General features: G+C 47.8%; 1 protein-coding gene and 1 long non-coding RNA gene across 2 annotated transcripts in view, besides 2 other annotated features; one reads left to right on the forward strand and one right to left on the reverse strand.

Annotated features, from left to right (window-relative positions):
* Positions 3719–4583: an enhancer, noted in NCBI's record as "NANOG-H3K27ac-H3K4me1 hESC enhancer chr5:170193927-170194791 (GRCh37/hg19 assembly coordinates)". NCBI's record gives its function as "activates a minimal SCP1, AML or CMV promoter by ChIP-STARR-seq in primed H9 embryonic stem cells {active_cell/tissue: H9 hESC(primed)}" and the evidence as "EXISTENCE:reporter gene assay evidence [ECO:0000049][PMID:30033119]".
* Positions 4584–5447: an enhancer, noted in NCBI's record as "NANOG-H3K27ac-H3K4me1 hESC enhancer chr5:170194792-170195655 (GRCh37/hg19 assembly coordinates)". NCBI's record gives its function as "activates a minimal SCP1, AML or CMV promoter by ChIP-STARR-seq in primed H9 embryonic stem cells {active_cell/tissue: H9 hESC(primed)}" and the evidence as "EXISTENCE:reporter gene assay evidence [ECO:0000049][PMID:30033119]".
* LOC107986475 (uncharacterized) lies at positions 6471–19852 on the reverse strand. Its single transcript, XR_001742978.3, has 2 exons — positions 16243–19852; positions 6471–8039 (listed from the first exon to the last, which is right to left on the reverse strand). It is a non-coding gene; the product is annotated as an uncharacterized LOC107986475 (long non-coding RNA).
* GABRP (gamma-aminobutyric acid type A receptor subunit pi) overlaps positions 19516–20115 on the forward strand; it is a 31328-nt gene continuing 30728 nt past the window's right edge. Inside the window, exon 1 of the mRNA XM_024446012.2 lies at positions 19516–19715. The gene's annotated coding sequence lies outside the window, so the exon portion shown is untranslated. The remainder of the gene's footprint in view (positions 19716–20115) is intronic.

The raw sequence follows: 20115 nt of genomic DNA on the forward strand, positions 1-20115 counted from the left end.
ATTGTCCAGTCCTTTTTAAGTTGGTGGCTGAGCTTGGTGAGGTGTGTTTTTAATAGACCATTAGTCTGTCACTGAATACTAAGAGCCTGAAAAAATGCTTGGCTGATTCGACTAATAAAGGCTGGTCTGTTATCAGACTGTATAGAGGTGGGAAGGCTAAACTGAGGAATTATGTCTGACAGAAGGGAATGACAAGGCTAAACTGAAGAATTATGTCTGACAGAAGGGAAGAAATGACTGCAGTGGCCTTCTCAGACCCTGTAGGAAAGGACTCTACTTATCCGGTGAAAGTGTCTACCTAGACTAAGAGGTATTTTAGTTATCTTACTCGGGGCATGTTGAGTAAAGCTAATTTGCCAGTCCTGGGTTGGGGCAAATCCTTGAGCTTGATGTGTAGGGAAGGGAGGGGGCCTGAATAATCCATGAGGAGTAGTAGAATAGCAGATGGAACACTGAGAAGTTATTTCTTTGAGGATAGATTTCCACAATGGAAAGGAAATGAGAGGTTCTAAGAGGCGGGCTAGTGGCTTGTACTATAGCATAGCCTGCCTTTGCTGGTGTGTGGCGATTAGGCCTGGTGGAACTGCCATCAATAAACTAAGTGTGATCAGGGTGAGAAACAGGGAAGAAGGAAATGTGGGGAAATGGGGTGAACGTCAGGTGGATCAGAGAGATAAGGTCATGAGGGTCAAGTGTGGTATCTGGAATAATGTGGGAGGCCGGATTGAAGTCCGGGGCAAGAACAATGGTAATTGTGGAGACTTAACAAAGAGTGAGTACAGCTGAAGGAGCCGGGAGCAGAAAGTATATGCGTCAGGTGGGAGGAAGAAAATAGATTTTGGAAATTATGAGAGCTGTAGAGAGTGAGTTGAGCATAGTTTGTGATTTTTAGGGCCTCTAAAAGTATTAAAGCAGCGGCAGCCACTGCACACAGACATGAGGGCTAGGCTAAAACAGTAAGGTCAAGTTGTTTGGACAGAAAGGCTACAGGGTGTGGTCCTGGCTCTTGTGTAAGAATTCTGACCACACTAACCATGCCTAGGAAGGAAAGGAGTTGCTGTTTTGTAAGGGATTGAGGTTTGGGAGATTAATCGGACACGATCAGCAGGGAGAACACATGTGTTTTTATGAGAATTACGCTGAGATAGGTAACAGATGAGGATGAAATTTGGGCTTGACTGAAGTAATGGGGGCTGTCTGTGAAGCCTTGCGGCAGTACAGCCCAGGTAATTTGCTGAGCCTAATGGGTGTCAGGGTCAGTCTAAGTGAAAGCAAAGAGACGCTGGGACGAGGGGTGCAGGGGAATAGTGAAAAAAGCATCTTTAAGATCAAGCACGGCATAGTGAGTTGTGAAGGAAAGTATTGAGGACAAAAGAGTGTACGGGTTTGGCACCACAGGGTGGATAGGCAAAACAATTTGGTTGATAAGGCACAGATCCTGAACTAATCTATAAGACTTATCCAGTTTTTGGACAGGTAAAATGGGGGAATTGTAAGGGGAGTTTATAGGTTTTAGAAGCCCATGTTGTAGCAGGCGAGTGATAACAGGCTTTAATCCTTTTGAAGCATGCTGTGGGATGGGATATTGGCATTGAGCGGGGTAAGGGTGATTAGGTTTTAATGGGATGGTAACGGGCATGTGATCATTTGCCAGGGAAGCAGTAGAGATATCCCATACTTGTGGGTTAAGGTGGGGGAATACGAGAGGAAGACGCGAAGGAGGCTTTGGGTTGGGGAGAAGGGCAGCAATGAGATGCGGCTGCAGTCCAGGAATAGTCAGGGAAACAGATAATTTGGTTAAAATATCTCAGCCTAATAAGGGAACTGGGCAGGTGGGGATAACTAAAAAAGAGTGCATAAAAGAGTGTTGTCCAAGTTGGCACCAGAGTCGGGGAGTTTTCAGGGGTTTAGAAGCCTGGCCGTCAATACCCACAACAGTTATGGAGGCAAGGGAAACAGGCCCTTGAAAAGAAGGTAATGTGGAGTGGGTAGCCTCCGTATTGACTAAGGGGACGGACTTACCTTCCACTGTGAGAGTTACCCGAAGCTCGGAGTCCGTGATGGTCTACGGAGCTTCCGAGGCGATCGGGCAGCATCAGTCTTCAGCTGCTAAGCCGAGAAGGAGTCAGTCAGAGAGCCTTGGGCCAGAGTTCCAGGGGCTCTGGGAGTGGCTGCCAGGTGAGTTGAACAGTCTGATTTCCAGTGGGGTCCCGCACAGATGGGACACGGCTTAGGAGCAATCCTGGGCTGCAGGCATTCCTTGTCCTGGTGGTCAGATTTCTGGCACTTGTAGCAAGCTCCTGGGGGAGGAGGTTCTGGAGGAACGCCTGGCTGCTGCAGTTCAGGCGTTTGGAAGTTCTTGGGTGCTGGAGATGTGGCTGGGGTTTGTCTCACAGTGGAGGCAAGGAATTGCAACTTTTTTCTATTATTGTACACCTTGAAGGTGAGGTTAATTAAATCCTGTTGTGGGGTTTGAGGGCCGGATTCTAATTTTTGGAGTTTTATTTAATGTAGGGAGCGGATTGGGTAATAAAATGTATTTTGAGAATAAGACGGCCTTTTGACCTTTTAGGGTCTAGGGCTGTAAAGTGTCTCAGGGTTGCTGCCAAACGAGCCATGAGCTGGGCTGGATTTTTATATTTGATGAAAAAGAGCCTAAACACTATCTGATTTGGGATAAGGAAAAAGGAGCATTAACCTTGACTATGCCTTTAGCTCCAGCCACCTTTTTAAGAGTAAATTGCTGGTCAGGTGGGGGAGGGCTAGTCACAGAACGAAACTGTAAGCCGGACCGGGTGTGAGGAGGGAGGTGATAAAAGGATTATAGGGTGGAGGAGCAGAGGCTAAGGAAGAATTGGGACCTAGCTCAGCCTGGCGAGGTGGGGAGAGGTCAGATGGGTCTGTAGAAAAGGAAGGTTAGAAAGACTCACGACGCTTGGGGTTGGGACTGAGGGGACAGGTGGGAGGGAAAGAAGGAAGAGTTGGGACGAGTTGCACTGGGCACAGAGACTAGGGAGGGACCGATATGTGAAAGAATGCCTGGACATCAGGCACCTCAGACCGTTTGCCCATTTTACGACAAGAATTATTTAGATCTTGCAGGATGGAAAAATTGAAAGTGCCATTTTCTTGCTATTGGAACTACTGTTGAGTTTGTATTGGGGTCAAGCGGCATTGCAGAAGAAAATAAGGCATTTAGGTTTTAGGTCAGGTGTGAGTTGAAGAGGTTTTAAGTTTTTGAGAACACAGGCCAAGGGAGAAGGGGGAATGGAGGGTGGAAGGTTGCCCATAGTGAAGGAAGCAAGCCTAGAGAAAAGAGAGAGTAGAGGCACGGAGGGAAGGGGTTCGGGGGTTCTTACGTTCCAGAAAAGTGGGAAAGAGGTTGGGGCATGGATATAAGGGGTTGGGGCGCAGAGATAAGAGGTTGGGGCATGGAAATAAGGGATGGGGTGCAGAGATAAGAGGTTAGGGCGTGGAAATAAGGGGTCGGGGCATGGAAATAAGTGATTGGGGTGCAGAGATAAGAGGTCGGGGCATGGAAATAAGGGATGGGGTACAGAGATAAGAGGTTGGGGCATGGAAATAAGGGATCAGGGCACAGAGATAAGAGGTTGGGGTGCAGAAATAAGGGATTGGGGTGCAGAGATATGAGGTTGGGGTACTTGCCCCTCTAGAAAAGCGGGACTTGCCACTAAGAGTGAAGGAGAAGGGGTTGGGGGTTTCTTGCCCCCCCAGAAAGGTGGAGAAGGGGTAGAGACAGAGAAGGGGTTGGGGTACTTGCCCCTTCCCCAGAAAAGTGGGACTTGCCGCTAAGGGTGAAGGACCAAGGCAGGCGTCCCTGAGTGGTCTGACACCTCTGAAACATGGGTGAATAATCAGAGAGATGTCCCTGCAATGATCAAACAACAAGGGAAGGCTGCCTTCCCTAGTCCGTGACTGGCCCTGGAGTTTTGGGTCCATGGATAAAACATGTCTCCTTTGTCTCTACCAGAAAATGAAAGGAATTGAAATTAAGAGAAGGGAGAGATTGAAGAGTGGAAAGGAGAAAGTGGTTGAGGGACAGTGAGAGAGGTTGGAGAAGAGAGTAAGAAGAGGCCACTTACCCTATTTAAAATTGGTGAGCTGTTCCTTGGGCTGGTGGGTCTGAGGACCTGAGGTCATAGGTGGATCTTTTTCACGGAGCAAAGAGCAGGAGGACAGGGGATTGATCTCCCAAGGGAGGTCCCCCGATCCGAGTCACGGCACCAAATTTCATGCATGTCCGTGTGAAGAGACCACCAAACAGGCTTTGTGTGAGCAACATGGCTGTTTATTTCACCTGGGTGCAGGCAGGCTGCGTCTGAAAAGAGTCAGCGAAGGGAGATAGGGGTGGGGCCATTTTATAGGATTTGGGTAGGTAATGGAAAATTACAGTCAAAGGGGGGTTGTTCTCTGACGGGCAGAGTGGGGGTCACAAGGTGCTCAGTAGGGGAGCTTTTGAGCTAGGATGAGCCAGGAGAAGGAATTTCACAAGACGATGTCATCAGTTAAGGCAGGAATAGGCCATTTTCACTTCTTTTGTGGTGGAATGTCATCAGTTAAGGCAGGAACCAGCCATATGGATGTGTACATGCAGGCCACAGGGGATATGGTGGCTTAGCTTGGGCTCAGAGGCCTGACAGTTGGGGCCTCCCCCTAGCTCACAGAAGAGGAGCTAGGGCTTAAGGGTGAGCAGCAAGTCAGCAGGTGGCTAAGGTTGAGCAGAGGAACCCAAGGGTGTGCCTCGGCTGAAATGCTTTCTTGGATGAGGGCTTCAGCATCAGGATTCAGGGGTAGTAACAAGGGCAGACTGCAAGAGAGCATTGTTGGGGGTGCAGGCACACTGAACCCAGCACAAGGAGGCCTTGAACCCTGACCCAGAACCACCCCTTACTTAGAGCAGTGACACCTCAGCCACATATGCCGAGCATCTGAACTGTGGCAGCTAGTACAAAATGCATTCCGTAAACATTCGTGGAATGAATGAGCAGACGAATGAATGAACGTTTCCGTGTATCAAATGGGAGTGATATTATTTACTCCAGCTCTGCCAGGGGATTATTGATAGGGTGAATTGAGACGATAGAGATGGAAAAACCCTCTAAACTGTAAAATACTATGCAGATGTAAGGATTATAATGTGAATGGATACAGTTGATTGCCAGAGATAAAAATCATCAAGGAATCAGCTGGTGATGGTGTAGTAACTTCCCTGGACTGCAAGAAGCAGCTTTAATTGGAGCTCTTAAGGGAAATCTCTTCCTCCATCGTCGAATTAGTAGGACTATTACCACTATTATTGAAGACATTTTTAAATTTTTTTACATCACTGAATGGAACAAATCAAGCAAGATTTCAGGTGATAAGAAATAGCAGGAGGATTGGGCACACAGCGTGGTGGGAAAACTTAAGAAGGGTCCCATCTTAGCATTCCAGATGAGACTTACTGATGGCCGAGTCCCACTCCCTATTTTAGAGTGAGGGAAACTGAGGCCTGGAAAACATGCAGTGTCATGATGCTCACCTGGATTAAGTAATAATCATAACAGCTCACATTATGGACTGAACATCTGTATATATGAGGTTATTTGATTCATACAATAACCCTATAAAGTAGATACTATAATTATCTTCATCTTACAGTTAAGAAAACAGAGACTCAAACCAAGTAGCTAGTCCAGGTGTACACAGTTGGCAAGTAAGGGTAACATACTAACAGGGTATCTCCCTGTTGCCAGAGCAACTGGAGGTCCACAGATAATATCATTGTGGGAAGAAATATATTGTTTTATTTACTTGGGGTTTGGGGAATATTTGACTAAAATGATGACTGATGTTGGACATAGAACGTGGGAACCCCTGCAATGATGTCTCTTACCTGGGAGTGAAAACATGTGCAAGGACTCTCTTGGGGTTTAGAAACCAATCAGCTCAAGTCAGGCCCCGCAGAAAGGAGTGCACTATAATTCCTGAGCCCTCCTGCTCCCTCTCTCATTAGCTGACACCATCAATTCAAGGTTAATGCACGCCGGGTTTGGGAGCTAATTATTCCACCATTACAGATATAAATTTCCCCTGGAGAACAGCCAGAGATGGGAGCTGGAGAGAAGAGAAAGAGGCTGAGGAAGGAAAGAGGCCGCCTAGCTCTGACAGATGGGAAAATAGCATGTCATCATGGGTGGCGGGCTTCCCGACCACTGGAGCATGCCTCCAGGAAATCTCTGCATCTTTCCTGGTTGTACTCCAGGCTGACTGCTCTGCCCACACTCCTATTTGCCTGGATTTCTGGCAGTCGCTGAGCCCCCACCCCCATCTGTCAGCCTTCATGGTTCCTAAAACAGCTTGCAGAACACTCTTCAATTCCACAATTTATCTAGTCCCTAGTCTATGCCAAGCAATGGGATGCAGGACATGGGGGGTGCCGACCACAGTGATTAATAACACATAGTCCCTGACTTCAAGGAGATTTTATTACTGGGGAAGAAAAATGTGCATTCAATCAACTCTAGCACTTGGCTGTGTTATGGGGACAAAGTGCTATGGGACAAAAGAGAGTCACTTGAGCTAGGAGGTTCTGAAAAGGAAGAGCCATTTGAAGTGTGTCTTGAAGGATGAGTACGGTTTCAAGAGCGGGGAAATGGGAAAGGGCGGGTATTACTCCAGGTAAAAGAAACAAAAGCATAATGGCAAAGAAGGCAGAACTTGCTTGCTGTGTCTGGGATGTAGGTTAAAGCATGCTGAAAGTGAGCCTGTAATGGGAGTAAGGACTAGGGAAGGCAGCTGGAAGAGACCATGAAGGGCCTGAACGAGCATGATTTGGAATTTAGAACTTCTATTAGAGGCAATGGGGAGCCACTGATGGCTTTTGAGGAAGGGAGTGACATGATGGGATCTGCATTTTAGAAAGAGGGTGGGGTGGGGTGTAATAGAGGGGAGCAAATGGAGGGAGGCAAGAGGACCCAGCTTCACGAGGAGCTCTTACATTAAGACTCCAACAGGAAGAAGGGGGAATTGCAATTAGTGGATGTGTTGGTGACCTCGTAAAAGGAGGTGACCTTTTAAGATGAGAGAAGCTTTCATCCACCCATTCAAGTTCATTTAGTGTCTTTTTTTCGTGAAGATTCATTTAGTATCTCTTTTTCATGAAGACAGCTCGAGCCAGATTTCTGGCCAATTGTTCTGGCTGGGCATTTCTGTGTCTTCCTTAGGGTGTCTTCTGGAGCAGGCTGCCCACTTGCCAGGGCAGGTAGCAGGCAGGGTTGTTTGGCCTGGAGGCCTCTCAGGGTGAGTGATGGAAAAATTCATCGTGGGCAGGTGGAGGGCCTGCTCAGGTGGGGAGACAGCAGGTAATGGGTGGGTGGGGTGAGCACAGAGGCTGCTGCAGCCCAGCCCTGCTCAGCGGCTAAGGGCTGGGGGACAGGGGAATGAGCATGTCAGCTCAGCCCCTAGAACTGGCTGCCAACCGAGGGCAAAGAGTGCTGCTCCAGAGCAGGACAGCAAGGCAGGGCACAGTCACCTGATCATCCAGCCTCTGAGACCCTGGCAACTTTGACGGAAAGCGTGCTCGGAGCAGCCTGGGGCAGTGGCCCCTACTATGGGTTTGCACCTGCAGAGAAGAGATCAGCTCATCCAGTGAAGAGAGAAAGGCTGGGCTGAGCACTCCCCATGGAACTTCGCTTCTGGACCTGGCTCTTCAGTGGGCTATCTGGGGACCTCTCATGGGTGTATTGAACTCCTGAGGCAGGCAGGAAAGCATCAAGGCCCAGAGATGCTTGGGACTGGGAAGCATCCTTCACCATCTCCTTCTGGAGTTCCTTGACATTGTTCTGTCCAAACAAGGGTGGCAGATTCCTCAAAAACCTAGAGCAAGGCAGAGCAATACTGGAGAAAAGGGAAGTTTCACTTGTGGTTGTAGGCCTTTCTAATTTTCAGATGGTGAGTGCACCTAAGGATGTACGTTCAGACACGTTTACAGATGAAATGCTGTACCTCCAAATCAGCGATGCCCCATCATCATCTTGCTGAAAACCAGACCAGAGAGGAAAGTGTAAAAATGCTCATGAGTGGATACACACACAAAGACACACACACACACTCTCCACGTGCCCTGTGTCCAACGCAGATATGTTTGAATATTCAGGATGGGAGGATTGAGGAAGATGATGGACTCAGAACCCCCCCTTACATGCACATGAAGTTCAAAGGGAGGAAGGCCTGGGCAGAGCAGGGTTACCTCCAAAGCCAAGAGATCAGGGAGACGCTGGGATGTAGATCCTGAAAAATTTTGGCATAGGCGAATGTGGAAGTCTTTAGGAAGAAAAGGAAGGTGGACGTTCACCGTGGATGCAGAGGATGCTCCGGAAGGCCGCGGTTTATTAAGCACCTTCCATGCGCCCTGTGTTGGGCTAGGTGCTTTAAAGTGAAAGCTGATGCTGACAATAATCCTGTGACATAGGCATGATTATTGCCTTTTGCGAACGAGAAAACCAAAGTTCAGAGGCATCAGGGAAGTGATTTGTCCGGGGTCACACGCAGAGCTCGGATATCTTTCAAAAGCCCACGTTCCTCTGTCTACACCAGGAGTTCTCAATCGTGGCTCTGCTAACTCTTTTGGCTGGATAGTTCTTTGTTACGGAGGCTGTCTGTGTATCACAAGATGTCTAGCAGCAACCTTGGTATCTACCCCCAGGTATGAATAGCACCTGCCCCCTAAAATTGGGACCATCAAAAATGTCTCCAGACATTAATTGCTACATGTCCGCTGGGGGAAAAACCACCCCTGACCTAAGGCCACTGCTCTGCACCTGCTACTCCCCAAACAAAGGCATTTAGGATTCCCACCCCCAGCAGTCCAGAGCTGGTGCAGCTCAGCCCTCCTGTGCTCTTTCTGCCTGTAAAGTGATCATCCCACAGCCTGCACCCTTCATGAGTTTTGCAAGGCAAGCTCAGTCAATGCTACCATGCCCAGGCTCAGGTCCTGACCCTGCTGTGTGGGGTGGAACCATCTGCTTCTCCTGTTTTTAAAAAATGGGGGGCTGGTGGTCCTGACCAGCAGTTCTCAACCAAGGATGTACATGAGAGTCACCTGGGGAGCTGTTTTATTGTTTTGTTTCTTTGTTTATTTTTGATATTCAAAACAAAGATACACTTGTCCTGTCCCAGTCCTCCTCATGCCCAGGGTTGCACTCTCCTGGTTGTTACGCCTGGCCCGAATCATTTCCAGGGCTCATTTCAGCCCCACCCTTCACTCCTGAGCTCCCTTGGATTCATTCACTCACCTCCCAATTTTCCCTCCGTGTGCCAGATGCCAGTGTTAAGGACCGGGGCTCAGACAGGGCTCTCAGTCAAGGAGTGAGGGACAGGGAATGAACATGCCATGGCACAGGGCAGGACCTGCTGAAAGACAGACAGGCCCAGCAGCGTAGAGAAGCGGTGAGCAGCTGCTGTCAAGGGGAGGGAGTATGGGGCTGAGGCAGGTGTGTGATGGGTGTGGGGAAGGAGGGGTGGTGGGGCACATCTGTGTATGTGAGTGGTGGTATTTGGGAGGGAATACGGGGGTGTGTGCATGTGGAGGGGAAGGGGTTTATGGGTGTACGTGCATATGTTATATGCGTGTGACTGAATAGTGTATATGGTACGTGTGTCTTGTCTGTGTGTACAACTACATGTCTATGTGAAGAATCTGGGTGGTGTGTGTGTCTGTGCCCTTGTATGTGCATGTGTTTGTGTGTGTGTATACAAGGTATGTGTGTTTACAGAGTATCTTAGTGCACATGTGTGTGTAGAGGGCCAGGCAGCAAGAAGGCCTCCCAGAGAGGACAATCTTTGGCCTGGCTCTTGGAGGAGGAGGAACAGTTCAGTAAGTGGAAAAAGAAGGGAGAGGCCTTCCAGGAAGAGGGACAGGCAGGCAGGGTGTGTACAGGCAGAGGTGTGACTGAGACTGGCATGTGTGGGGCATGGTGGCAGGGGGGTGAGGGGGTGGCGAGGAGATGGGGGCACGGATGGGAGAAGGTGAGGACTCAGTTTGCGGGGGCACACTAAGTGTGCCTCACTGGAGCCCTCAGCGCCCCTTTAGAATTTGAGGTGGGCTTGCCAGAGTTTTGGGAAGATGGCAGCAGCAGCAGGGCAGCACCTCTGGGAAGTCCCGGGAAGAGGCCTGGCTAGGCCAAGTCAGGGCCACACCTGAGCTGGCTGCAGGACTGTTTACAAAGCAAATGCATACTGGAGGGATTAGCAACCTGAGTTCTTGGCCAGCTGAGGTGGGTCACACCTGTAATCTCTGCACTTTGGGAGTCCGAAGTGGAAGGGTCTGTGCAAATCAAGCCTCTCCGCCAAATCACCTGCCGGCTTCCCACCCACCCCCAATCCCCACCTGAAGCCAGGTGTCTCTAATCTCTACTCCTGAGCATGAGGAAATCCAGCACAACCCCACCACCACCAGCAGGTAGAGCACCAGCTGTAACCAGGGCACAGCTCCTGAGCCAGCGGGCTCACTTTTCAATCTGGTTGTGGAGCAGGACACTGAGAAGCAGCCCACAGAGCTGCAAGAGTTCAGGCTGGGAGGGGACTCGAACCTGCCGTCAGCCTCACTGGTTGTGCCTCCTTGGGCAAGGCTACCCCCTGGCTCTCTGTTCCCAAGTGGGAATCCTGAAATGCCAGCAGCATTGAGTTGCTGTGATTCATTCAACAAATGTGTCCCCCTACCGTGTGCCAGGCACTGGAATACAGCAGGGAGAAAAGAGATAAAGACCCTGCCCATGTGAAGCTTGTGCACTACGGGGAGGAGACCAATCAATAATAAACATAACAAATGACTCGACTGTGGAGGCTGCTAGAAGGAGATGAGGCAGGGAAAAATGAGAAGAGCAGGGTATGGGGGACAGAATGGCTGTGATGGCGAATATTGGAATATGAAATGTGACTGACCTGTAGAGGCAGTTAGGGAAATGCTGATTTTGCAAATGAGATCCTGTCATTTCCAACATGGATGGAACTGGGGGACATGTTAGATGAAATAACCCAGGCACAGAAAAGCTCACTTCCCAGGTTCTCATTCATTTGTGGGAGCTAAAAATTAAAACAATTTAATTCACGGGGATAGAAAAGTAGAATGATGGTTAACAGAGGCCGGGAAGGGTAGTGGGGTTGGGGGGATGTAGGGATGATTAACAGGTACAAAATATGCAATGAAAGCAATGCAATGAATATGATCTGTTATTGATAGCAGAACAAGGTGACTACAGACAGCAATAATTTGTTGTACATTTTCACATAACTGAGGGAGTACAATTGGAATGTTTGTACCACAAGGAAATGATGAATGCTTGAGGTTATGGAGACCCCATTTACCCTAATATAATTATTACACATTGCATGTCTGTATCAAAATATCTCATGTATCCCATCAATATATATATACCTACTATGTGCCATAATTTTTTAAATAAGCCATGCTGAAAAGGGCTCAATGAAGTGACAAACAGAATGAATTATTTTCCCTTACTAATCCAGTCAACACCTGCTATGCGTTTGGTTCTATACTAAGAATTAAGGATGGATGCAAATAATTTCTGTAGGGGCTCATAGTCTGGTATGGAGGACAGGCAAGGATACAAACTAAGGATCCTGTGGTTCATGGTATGGTGGGTGCTATCCAAGGGGTCAGCCTAGAAGATGAGGAGAAAACCTGGTTGGGACAGGAGGGCCTCTGAGGGACCTACTGGGGTTGGCCTGATGGAAAAGAGGGAGAAGACAAAGGGCGTTCCAGGCAGGGGAACAGCATGTGCAAAGACTAGGGGAAGGTAGGGGTTGAAAAAAAAGAAACCGGGTGAGCCACCTGGCGGCAGTTGGAGAAGTGTGAGTAGTTCAGGGTGGGTTGAAACTGGGGAGTCACAGAGTAGTGATCTTTGGGACCGTATCCTGAAATCTTTTGAATACCATGCCAAAGGTGTTCCGGCTTTTTCAGAAAAATAACCACTGAAGGATCTTTAAGCTGGGAAGTGATCTGATTGTAGTAGAATTCCAGGAATAATGCTGACCAGAGCACAATGAGGGTGGAGGAGGGGAGCAGGAATAGAACAGCATTCCTTCTTTTGGGCCTCCTTTTAATGTCACCTCTTCGAAGAGACATTCTATTTTAGGCCCATCTGAATAGAACCCTCATCATGCCCCGTCATCGTTAGCCAGCTTTACATTTCTTTATAGTGCTTATTCCTACGCAACATTGCATCGACGTCTGTATACATTTCTTTATTTTCTGGTCTCTTACCTATAGGATATACATTTCACTTAAGCAGGGACTCTACTCACGGCTGTGTCACTAACACCTAGAAAAGCACCTGACACACAGTTGGCTCTCAAATTTTTTTGAAAGGAAAAAGTAATAAAATTAATGGAATAATAAAATTCCATTAAGAAATGGAAAACTTTGCTGTGGGCCTGTTTTTATCTGAAGTGGTTGGCAGCTGGGACTTGGGTTTGCCCTGAGGCTGGTGTTGAGCTGCTGTGAAGGTCAGCAAAGTGAGCCCCAGCCCATGAGATCTGTATCCCAAGGCTCTGGAGCCAACCAAGCAGGCTGATGCTGCTGCAGAACCCTGAGAACCCAGTGCTGCAAAGATCCTCTCCATGTGTGCTGACTCTAGCCCTTTGGGGCTGGAAGGCTTCTGACGCTGGGTGCCATGCCAGCATCTTACACCACCAAATGGTTCCAGGGAGGGTGCAACTGGCTACTCAAGGCCCTGGGTCTGAAATTACAGATCAAAAAATACATTGTGAGCAGGCTGTGGTGACTCAAGCCTGTAATCCCAGCACTTTGGGAGGCAGAGGTGGGCAGATCACTTGAGGTTAGGAGTTCAAGACCTGCCTGGGAAACATGGTAAACCCCATCTCTACTAAAAATACAAAAAGTAGCCAGGCATGGTGAGAGGCACCTATAATCCCAGCTACTCAGGAAGCTGAGGCATGAGAATCACTTGAACCTGGGAGGCAGAGGTTGCAGTGAGCCAAGATCGTGCCACTGCACTCCAGCCTGAATGACAGAGCGAGACACCATCTAAAAAAAAAAAATACATATTGAGCACACCCTGTACCAGGCAAAATGTAAGATAGCCTACTTATACTATAAAGTAGGTATGTTATCCCCATTTTACAGAAGAAAAACTGAAACTGAGAACTGAAACTTGGTGATTTGCCAAGATCACAGAGCCAAGAAACCAGAACCCAGGTTTGACTCCAATGCCTGTGTTCTGTTTCACTCAGCCACGTAGACTGAAATGTCCAATGCCAAACAAGACCCACCATCCCAGAGCCCCAAGCTCGGCTGGCCTCACCACCAAGACTTTCCATCTTCTGTGATACACAGACCCTCAGACCCCCTCATCTAGCAGCACCCGTTAGCTCCCGGGGAAAATGCCAAGCCAGGGTGGGCAGGGTCAACTTGGTGAATGAAATGGAGAAATAAGAAGCCCCATTCAGCTCTAAAACATGCTGTAGAAGATGCAGAAGTATATTTGGAATCAAGAACCCCTGGAAACTGACCAGGGAAGCATTTTGATAAATGAAACTAATGTATGTATTGCCTGACCCTCTGGCAATGGCATTAATGCTTTTTCATTTTTTTAATGTATTATTTATTTGAGTTGAGGGAACGTGGTAAGGCTGGGCATGCTGAGCCTGAGCTCTTTACAGTGGGTAAAGTGATGCTGGGGACTTGGTGAGGTTGTTTCCTGTAATGGTTCCCAGTCTCCGCGGCTGGGATTACAGTGTCGGCCACAGATCTTTCGTCCAGGCCGCCCCTCCCTGGAAGCAGCTTCCCACGGTGCACAGTAAGGGGTGTGGATGGTCTGTCCTCAGCAGGGACTCAGCCTGCTTTCGGTAGATCCAACCCACTTTCCCTCAATCGCCCTGTGGCCCACAGTGCCAGTGATTGTGTTTGTGACTTGAGGTCTTTAATAACCTCAGCTTCTGACAGTCTTCTAAAGGTGCCAGTGACTTAGCAGCTCAGAAGAAAAGGCTGATTGAGAGAAAAAGAACAAAGCATCAAGGGTTGGAGAGAGTGGGTGGAGACCTCCCCTGGCTTTGGGGGTTCTCAGACTGTGGGAGTCTGGCTGAACCCCAAGAGTTATGAAAGATTCCAAGTCTAACCTGAGGTTTATGTTAGCGTAGCTATTCCAGTTTCCCAGGATTTGAGATGGGGAGGCTGCTGACGAGGTGGAAGGCCAGCCCTCTGCTTCTCCTCCAGTCAGGACCCATTTGCCTGGGCTAGGGGTTCCCACAGGGTGTTCCCTGAATCCCTGAGAGAGCTCTGCCCCCAGCCCCTGCCCAGCCTTCCTGCAACCCCTGAGAGAGCTCTGGCCCCAGGCCCTGCCCTGCCTCCCCTGCCTTCCTCAACACATGGCTGACTCCTTCCCACCCTCTAGGAATCAGCTTAAATGTCACCTCTCGAAGAGATATTGCTAGGTCATTCCATCTAACCTGGCCAGCCCTGCTCCATTTTTTGTATTTCAGAGCTCTTATCACACACTGTAGTTAAATTTTTCTTTCTTTCTTTCTTTCCTTTTTCTTTCTTTCTTTCTTTTCTTTTCTTTCTTTGTCTTTTTGAAATAGAGTCTCACTCTGACACCCAGGCTGGAGTGCAGTGACACAATCTCTGCTCACTGCAGCCTTCGCCTCCCAGGTTCAAGCTATTCTCATGCCTCAGCCTCACGAGTAGCTGGGATTACAGGCATGCACCACCATATCTGGCTTATTTTTGTATTCTTAGTAGAGATGGGGTTTTACCATGTTGGTCAGGCTGGTCTCAAACTCCTGACTTCAAGTGATCCTCCAGCTTCAGCCTCCCAAATTGCTGGGATTACAGGTGTGAGCCACTGTGCCCGGCCTAAATGTGTTTCTTAGGTATTGTCTGCCTCCACCTCTAAACTGTAAGCTTCAAAGGAAAGGCCAGGTGCAACTGAAGCAGCATTATTCCACCAGCACTTAGCACAGTGCCTGGTATGGAATGAGTAGGTATTCGGTAATATTTATTAACTGAATCAACGATGAATGAAATGAGAGCTCTACCTTATAGCCATAGTCCTCAAATTTTAGAGTCAATAAGAATTACCTGGGGAGCTGATTGACATTCAGATTCCTAGGCCTCATTTCTTGATCTTCTGATTCGGTAGGTCTGGGGAGATGCCCAGGAATGTGCGTTTTAACAAGTACACCCCTGGTGATTCTTTCTGACAGAAGCACCTCTGGACAGGCCACATCTTGGGAAACACTGCCTTACCTGCATGGTTTGTCTCCACTGCAGTGACATCGCTGAGAAATGAGTTTTCACCACCTGCCATTGCCTTTTTCTCCAGTCCTTTAAGCATCTCTAGAATCTGGAGGTTTATGCCTTGGAGCTGGGGCAATGGCGGGGGGTGTGGGTTGTGCAGTGTAGCAAGAGGAAGGTATGTATTTATTATTATTAGAAATTAGAAGCAGGCCGGGAGCGGTGGCTCACACCTGTAATCCCAGCACTTTGAGAGGCCAAGGCAGGCGGATCACCTGAGGTCAGGAGTTCAAGACCAGCCTGGCCAATGTGGTGAAACCCCATCCCTACTAAAAATACAAAACTTAGCAGGGCACAGTGGCACATGCCTATAATCCCAGGTACTCTGGAGCCTGAGGCAGGAGAATTGCTTGAACCCAGGAAGCGGAGGTTGCAGGGAGACGAGATCATGCCGCTGCACTCCAGCCTGGGCGACAGAGCGAGATTCTATCTCAATAAATAAAAAACAAAGAAATTAGAAGCAAATATAAGAAGCTCGTAATACACTGCTGTTGCCCAAATGTGCAGATACCATTGATCGCATTTGTTCATTGGCTCAGTAGACTTTTTGAAGACCCACGATGTGATCAAGGCACTGACTTCAATATTGGGGATGAAACAATTAACAGAACAAAGTACCTGACCTCAAGGAGCCCTAGCTAAGCCCTAGCTTAGTGGTAGAGACAGGTAGGTCCGTGACTGTTGAGCCCAGTAAGGCCCAGCAAGAGCACTGTACAAGGGCAGCACAAGGAGAGAAAGTTACCAAGGGAAGTCAAGGCACTCCATGGAGGAGAGAACATCAGGGCCAGTTTTAGTTTAGCTAAAGCTTCGTTGGCCAGGAAGAAGATATCACAGAGCAAAGTTAGCACAAACTAGGAATGACCACAATGCACAGAGTGTTCGGGAGGAAGCCGCAAGGGACCTACCTGGAGAGATGCACAGCGTTTTCCAGAGAAACAAGGTTGGTCTTGACCTGCTCCGAACTTACCATTGCCAGCCCCCACATAGGATCCAGGCCACAGCGGTATTTTTTGTCACCTGTCCAGGTTTACATTTTTTCAGATTGGAATGTTTTTAGCCAAAGAACTCTCCTGTTTACCACGGTTCCCACCAGTCGTTACACTCAGCCTTCATGCATCACATTGCCTGCCCAGCCCCTGAAGTTGCCCAGCAACTAGGGCTGGCACCCTTTGCTACCCACTCACCTCAACACAGAGCTGAAATCAGAGAAGTGACCTGATCCGCTCTGGGTTTTTACGAAGATCGGCCTGGTGATTGTCAAGAGGGGAATATATTTGGAAGTTGAAAAAACAGTCAGGAACTTCCTCAATAGCCTGGCCCAACTGTCTCCACACTTTGATCCTATGTCCTCAACCTGTGTACATTAATTTATTTAGAGACTGTCTTATGTCCTAATATATGGTATGTGTGATAAGATATACAAAAAAAAAAGCATTTAAATGGGTGAGATAAAGATGAAAGATGACATAACACTACTTTTTAAGCTTTTATTTTGTTAACCATACCCAGGAAAACCCTTTTCACTGGAACAAATTTTTATGAAAACTAATATTTGTACTGAGGTTGTTATGTTTTATCATGTTTGTATTATTTTCATATTAAGCTTCTGCATTATGATATTTAGAAGACTAGTTTTAAGTTCAAATTATTTTGATATTTAGTTCTAATCACTTTCAGAATTGAAAAAAATGATACTTCACTAAAGTGCAGAAATCCAAATGGAAAAGGCACTAACTACATTGGCTGTGCTTGCTATAATAATAATTTTTCTATCTTACCAATTATGCAAATTGTGTCTAAATTCAGTTAGGAAATGTCATCTTCTCTGATGTCGATCAATTGTTCTTCCACATTTGCCATTGGCACTTTTATATTTTTAACAAGAGTTTGAAAACTCTTCATTTGGAAGATGTTTAATTAGGTGACGATGAGTGAAGTGTCAGTGCTACCATTTTCTTGCTGTTTCCATTACTAGTGTTATCTCCTTTCAGTAGTTCATTTTTGCAATAATCTTTTTTTAAGCCACACATCAATTTAGGGTTAATTTGGTGAAAACAAATCATCAATCCATTTAACCTGGTCCCAAAGCAAAGGATTGCAAGACCAAGCCCTCCATGTTGTAAAGCCCCCACTCCATCCTCAGGTTCACGTGGCTTGGCCCAGCTATACATGACCTTGGACAGTCTTCCTATCACACTGGTGAGCAGCCAGTATCCATGCACATAGTAAATATTAGTAAAGTACAATATCTCTCCCATTGTTTGAAGCCATAGAAGTTCTAATATTTTCTCCTATAATTCAAAGGCTCATCTTGCACAGAGCCATTCAGGCCTCTTTTTGGAGATGCCCATTTCTAAGATGAGGAGTTGCTGAGCCAGGCGTTGGGAGATAAGACAGAACAAGGTATCAAGAGTGAGGGTCCATCAGGTGTTGAGGGTGGGGGAAGAAGGAAGATGAGAGGGTTGAGATTGTCCTAGACGTTCCAGCTGGGATTGCAGGTGAGAAGGGTATTCAGTTCTGACAGGCAGTATTTCCTGGGAAGCACAGGTGCAAAAAGTAATCTTTTCCCACTACAGTGTCCCAGGCAAGGGGAAGACCCACAGGTTTTCTCTGTCCTCTGCTTTAGTTGAACTCTGTTTCACTGTACTCCCCACCATTATTGAATGGACTTGGGTAAGCGGCTGATTTGAAATTCAAAGACCTGGATTCCAGTCCATGCCGACTCCACCCCTTAATAGCTGGCTGACTAGCACAGCTTCCTCATCTGTAAAATAACAATTTTTTAAAAAGCCCTGCCTGCTTCACAGGATTATTATATGGCTCAAAGATAAAGCATATGCACAGCCAAAGGCTCTGAAAACTGCAAAGCACTATACAAATGTACGGTGTTATTATGACTTAGTATCCTGCATGCATTATGATTGAGGTACAAGGCAAGACATATCTATGTCCTCTTGCCTTTGTTTTTCCGGGACACTTAGGAGAGAGTATGACCATGTGGAGTAAGAGGTGGACACTGAGATCAGTATCCTGTGGGCAGTACATCTGAACATCCTGAACGTCCTAACACTGACCTTAGGCCTCCTGAGACCAGAGGTCACACTTGGAAATGAGGTGTGGTGCAGAGGTTGCTGGGGTTTCTGGATCCACGGAGCAAGAATGCCTGGGAATACTGGAGAAGAACCTAGTTTTCCTGGAAATTCCCCTCCCAGGCATTTCTTCACTTGATCTGAAGAAAATCTAAGAAGAAGCCAACACTAGAATGAAGCATTGTTTGAAAGTGGGAGATAAGACGCCTTATCATACCTACTTTCACTTAAGATCTGGCTTTCCCTGGCCACCAGGGGTAATCAGTCTCTTAACATATTTACTGGATGTCTACATAGAAGTACAATTCAAGCCCCTTGCAATGAAAATACTAACAATATGATTGGGAAGATTAAACACAGGATAGACAGATTGACAGATAATGGTGATGAAGATAGATAATAGATAGATATCTGGATGGAGGTTTGGATAGATAAGCACAAACTTGACAAGACACTACACCATCAGGAGAAAAAGAACAATTTGTTGAGCGTCTACAATGTGCCAGGTCAAGGTGCCAGGTGCTTTCAGATGTGTTACCACATCTGTCATTGCTGACTCCTTACAGCAATCCTGTAAGGAAGCATCAGCCCCATTGGTCAGATAAGAAATGGAGACCCAAAGAGGTTAAGCAACTTGTCCAGGACCATGCAGCTAGCCAGCCCATGTTCCTTCATCTAAGTCTCACTGTTCCTGGGTCAGAGGAAACCCTCCCACCCCCACCTCCCAGCTCTGAATTGTCTTTATTACTCTGGAGCCTTTGTTCTGTGTGAGAATATCTTAGGCTTTTTGAGAAAAGCCCCAGATCACTGTCTATTCATTGAGAACCTGAAACCGGCTCCTCAGCCATTCCTGCTCTAGCCACCAGCAAGGTTCCCAAGTGAAAGTGAGTCCTCTCAGGAGAAATGAAAGCGCTGTCTCTTTAGGTGCCCACTCCTTACCCACCAGCGGAGCAATGTTTTCCAGGCTGGCCAGGCTCCAGAAGCTCACTAAGGAAGTTGGCTTGGGGCCAAAGGCATCTATGGTTCATTGTACACTGTGGCCCTCCCCTTCCTGCCCCTCCATTTGCTCCCCTTCCTTTCTCTCTCTCCCTTCCCGGCTCCTAGACTGGGTCTAGGCAGGAGCTTCGCCATGATGTCAGGAGGGAAGGAGATGCCTCTGGGCCTCGTACCACAGCCTCAGCTCTCTCTCTGCCCCTCCATCTGAGTCCCTCCTGGCTCCCAGCTCCCTCAGGGTGCAAGGCCAAGCCTCCAAGGAATCCCTCCCCTTACCTGCATGGCTGGAGCCAAGAGTGAGTTTGGGGCCACTGGCTATGATGAGGGGATGACCCAGAGCTCAGTGAGCACTGTCGAAGCACTTCTGTTAGGAGGTTTGGTTGGCCAGGGAGGAAGAAGGCCTCCCTCTCTGGGATGCTCCTGAAAGGACTCTGTGGGAAGTTAAAGAATCCTCTGTGTGAGAGCAGGATGGGGGAAGGTGGAGGGTTGGAGAAATCCAGCCCAGTGTCTCTGTGTCTCCCCGCCTCCTCCTCCTGGGCCTCTATCCTCTGTGCTCTTGGCCTCTATGAGTCTTTTTGAAACTTCCCAGGCTGGAAAGCACTAGGTCCTGGGATATGAAAGTCTCTTTTAACATAGAATAGGCCTTCTGTTGATCCCAAAGATGCTCTTAAAATACACAACAAGAAATCGGAGTTT

The sequence above is a fragment of the Homo sapiens genome, chromosome 5 (genome assembly GCF_000001405.40).
Source record: "Homo sapiens chromosome 5, GRCh38.p14 Primary Assembly".
NCBI lineage: Eukaryota > Metazoa > Chordata > Mammalia > Primates > Hominidae > Homo > Homo sapiens.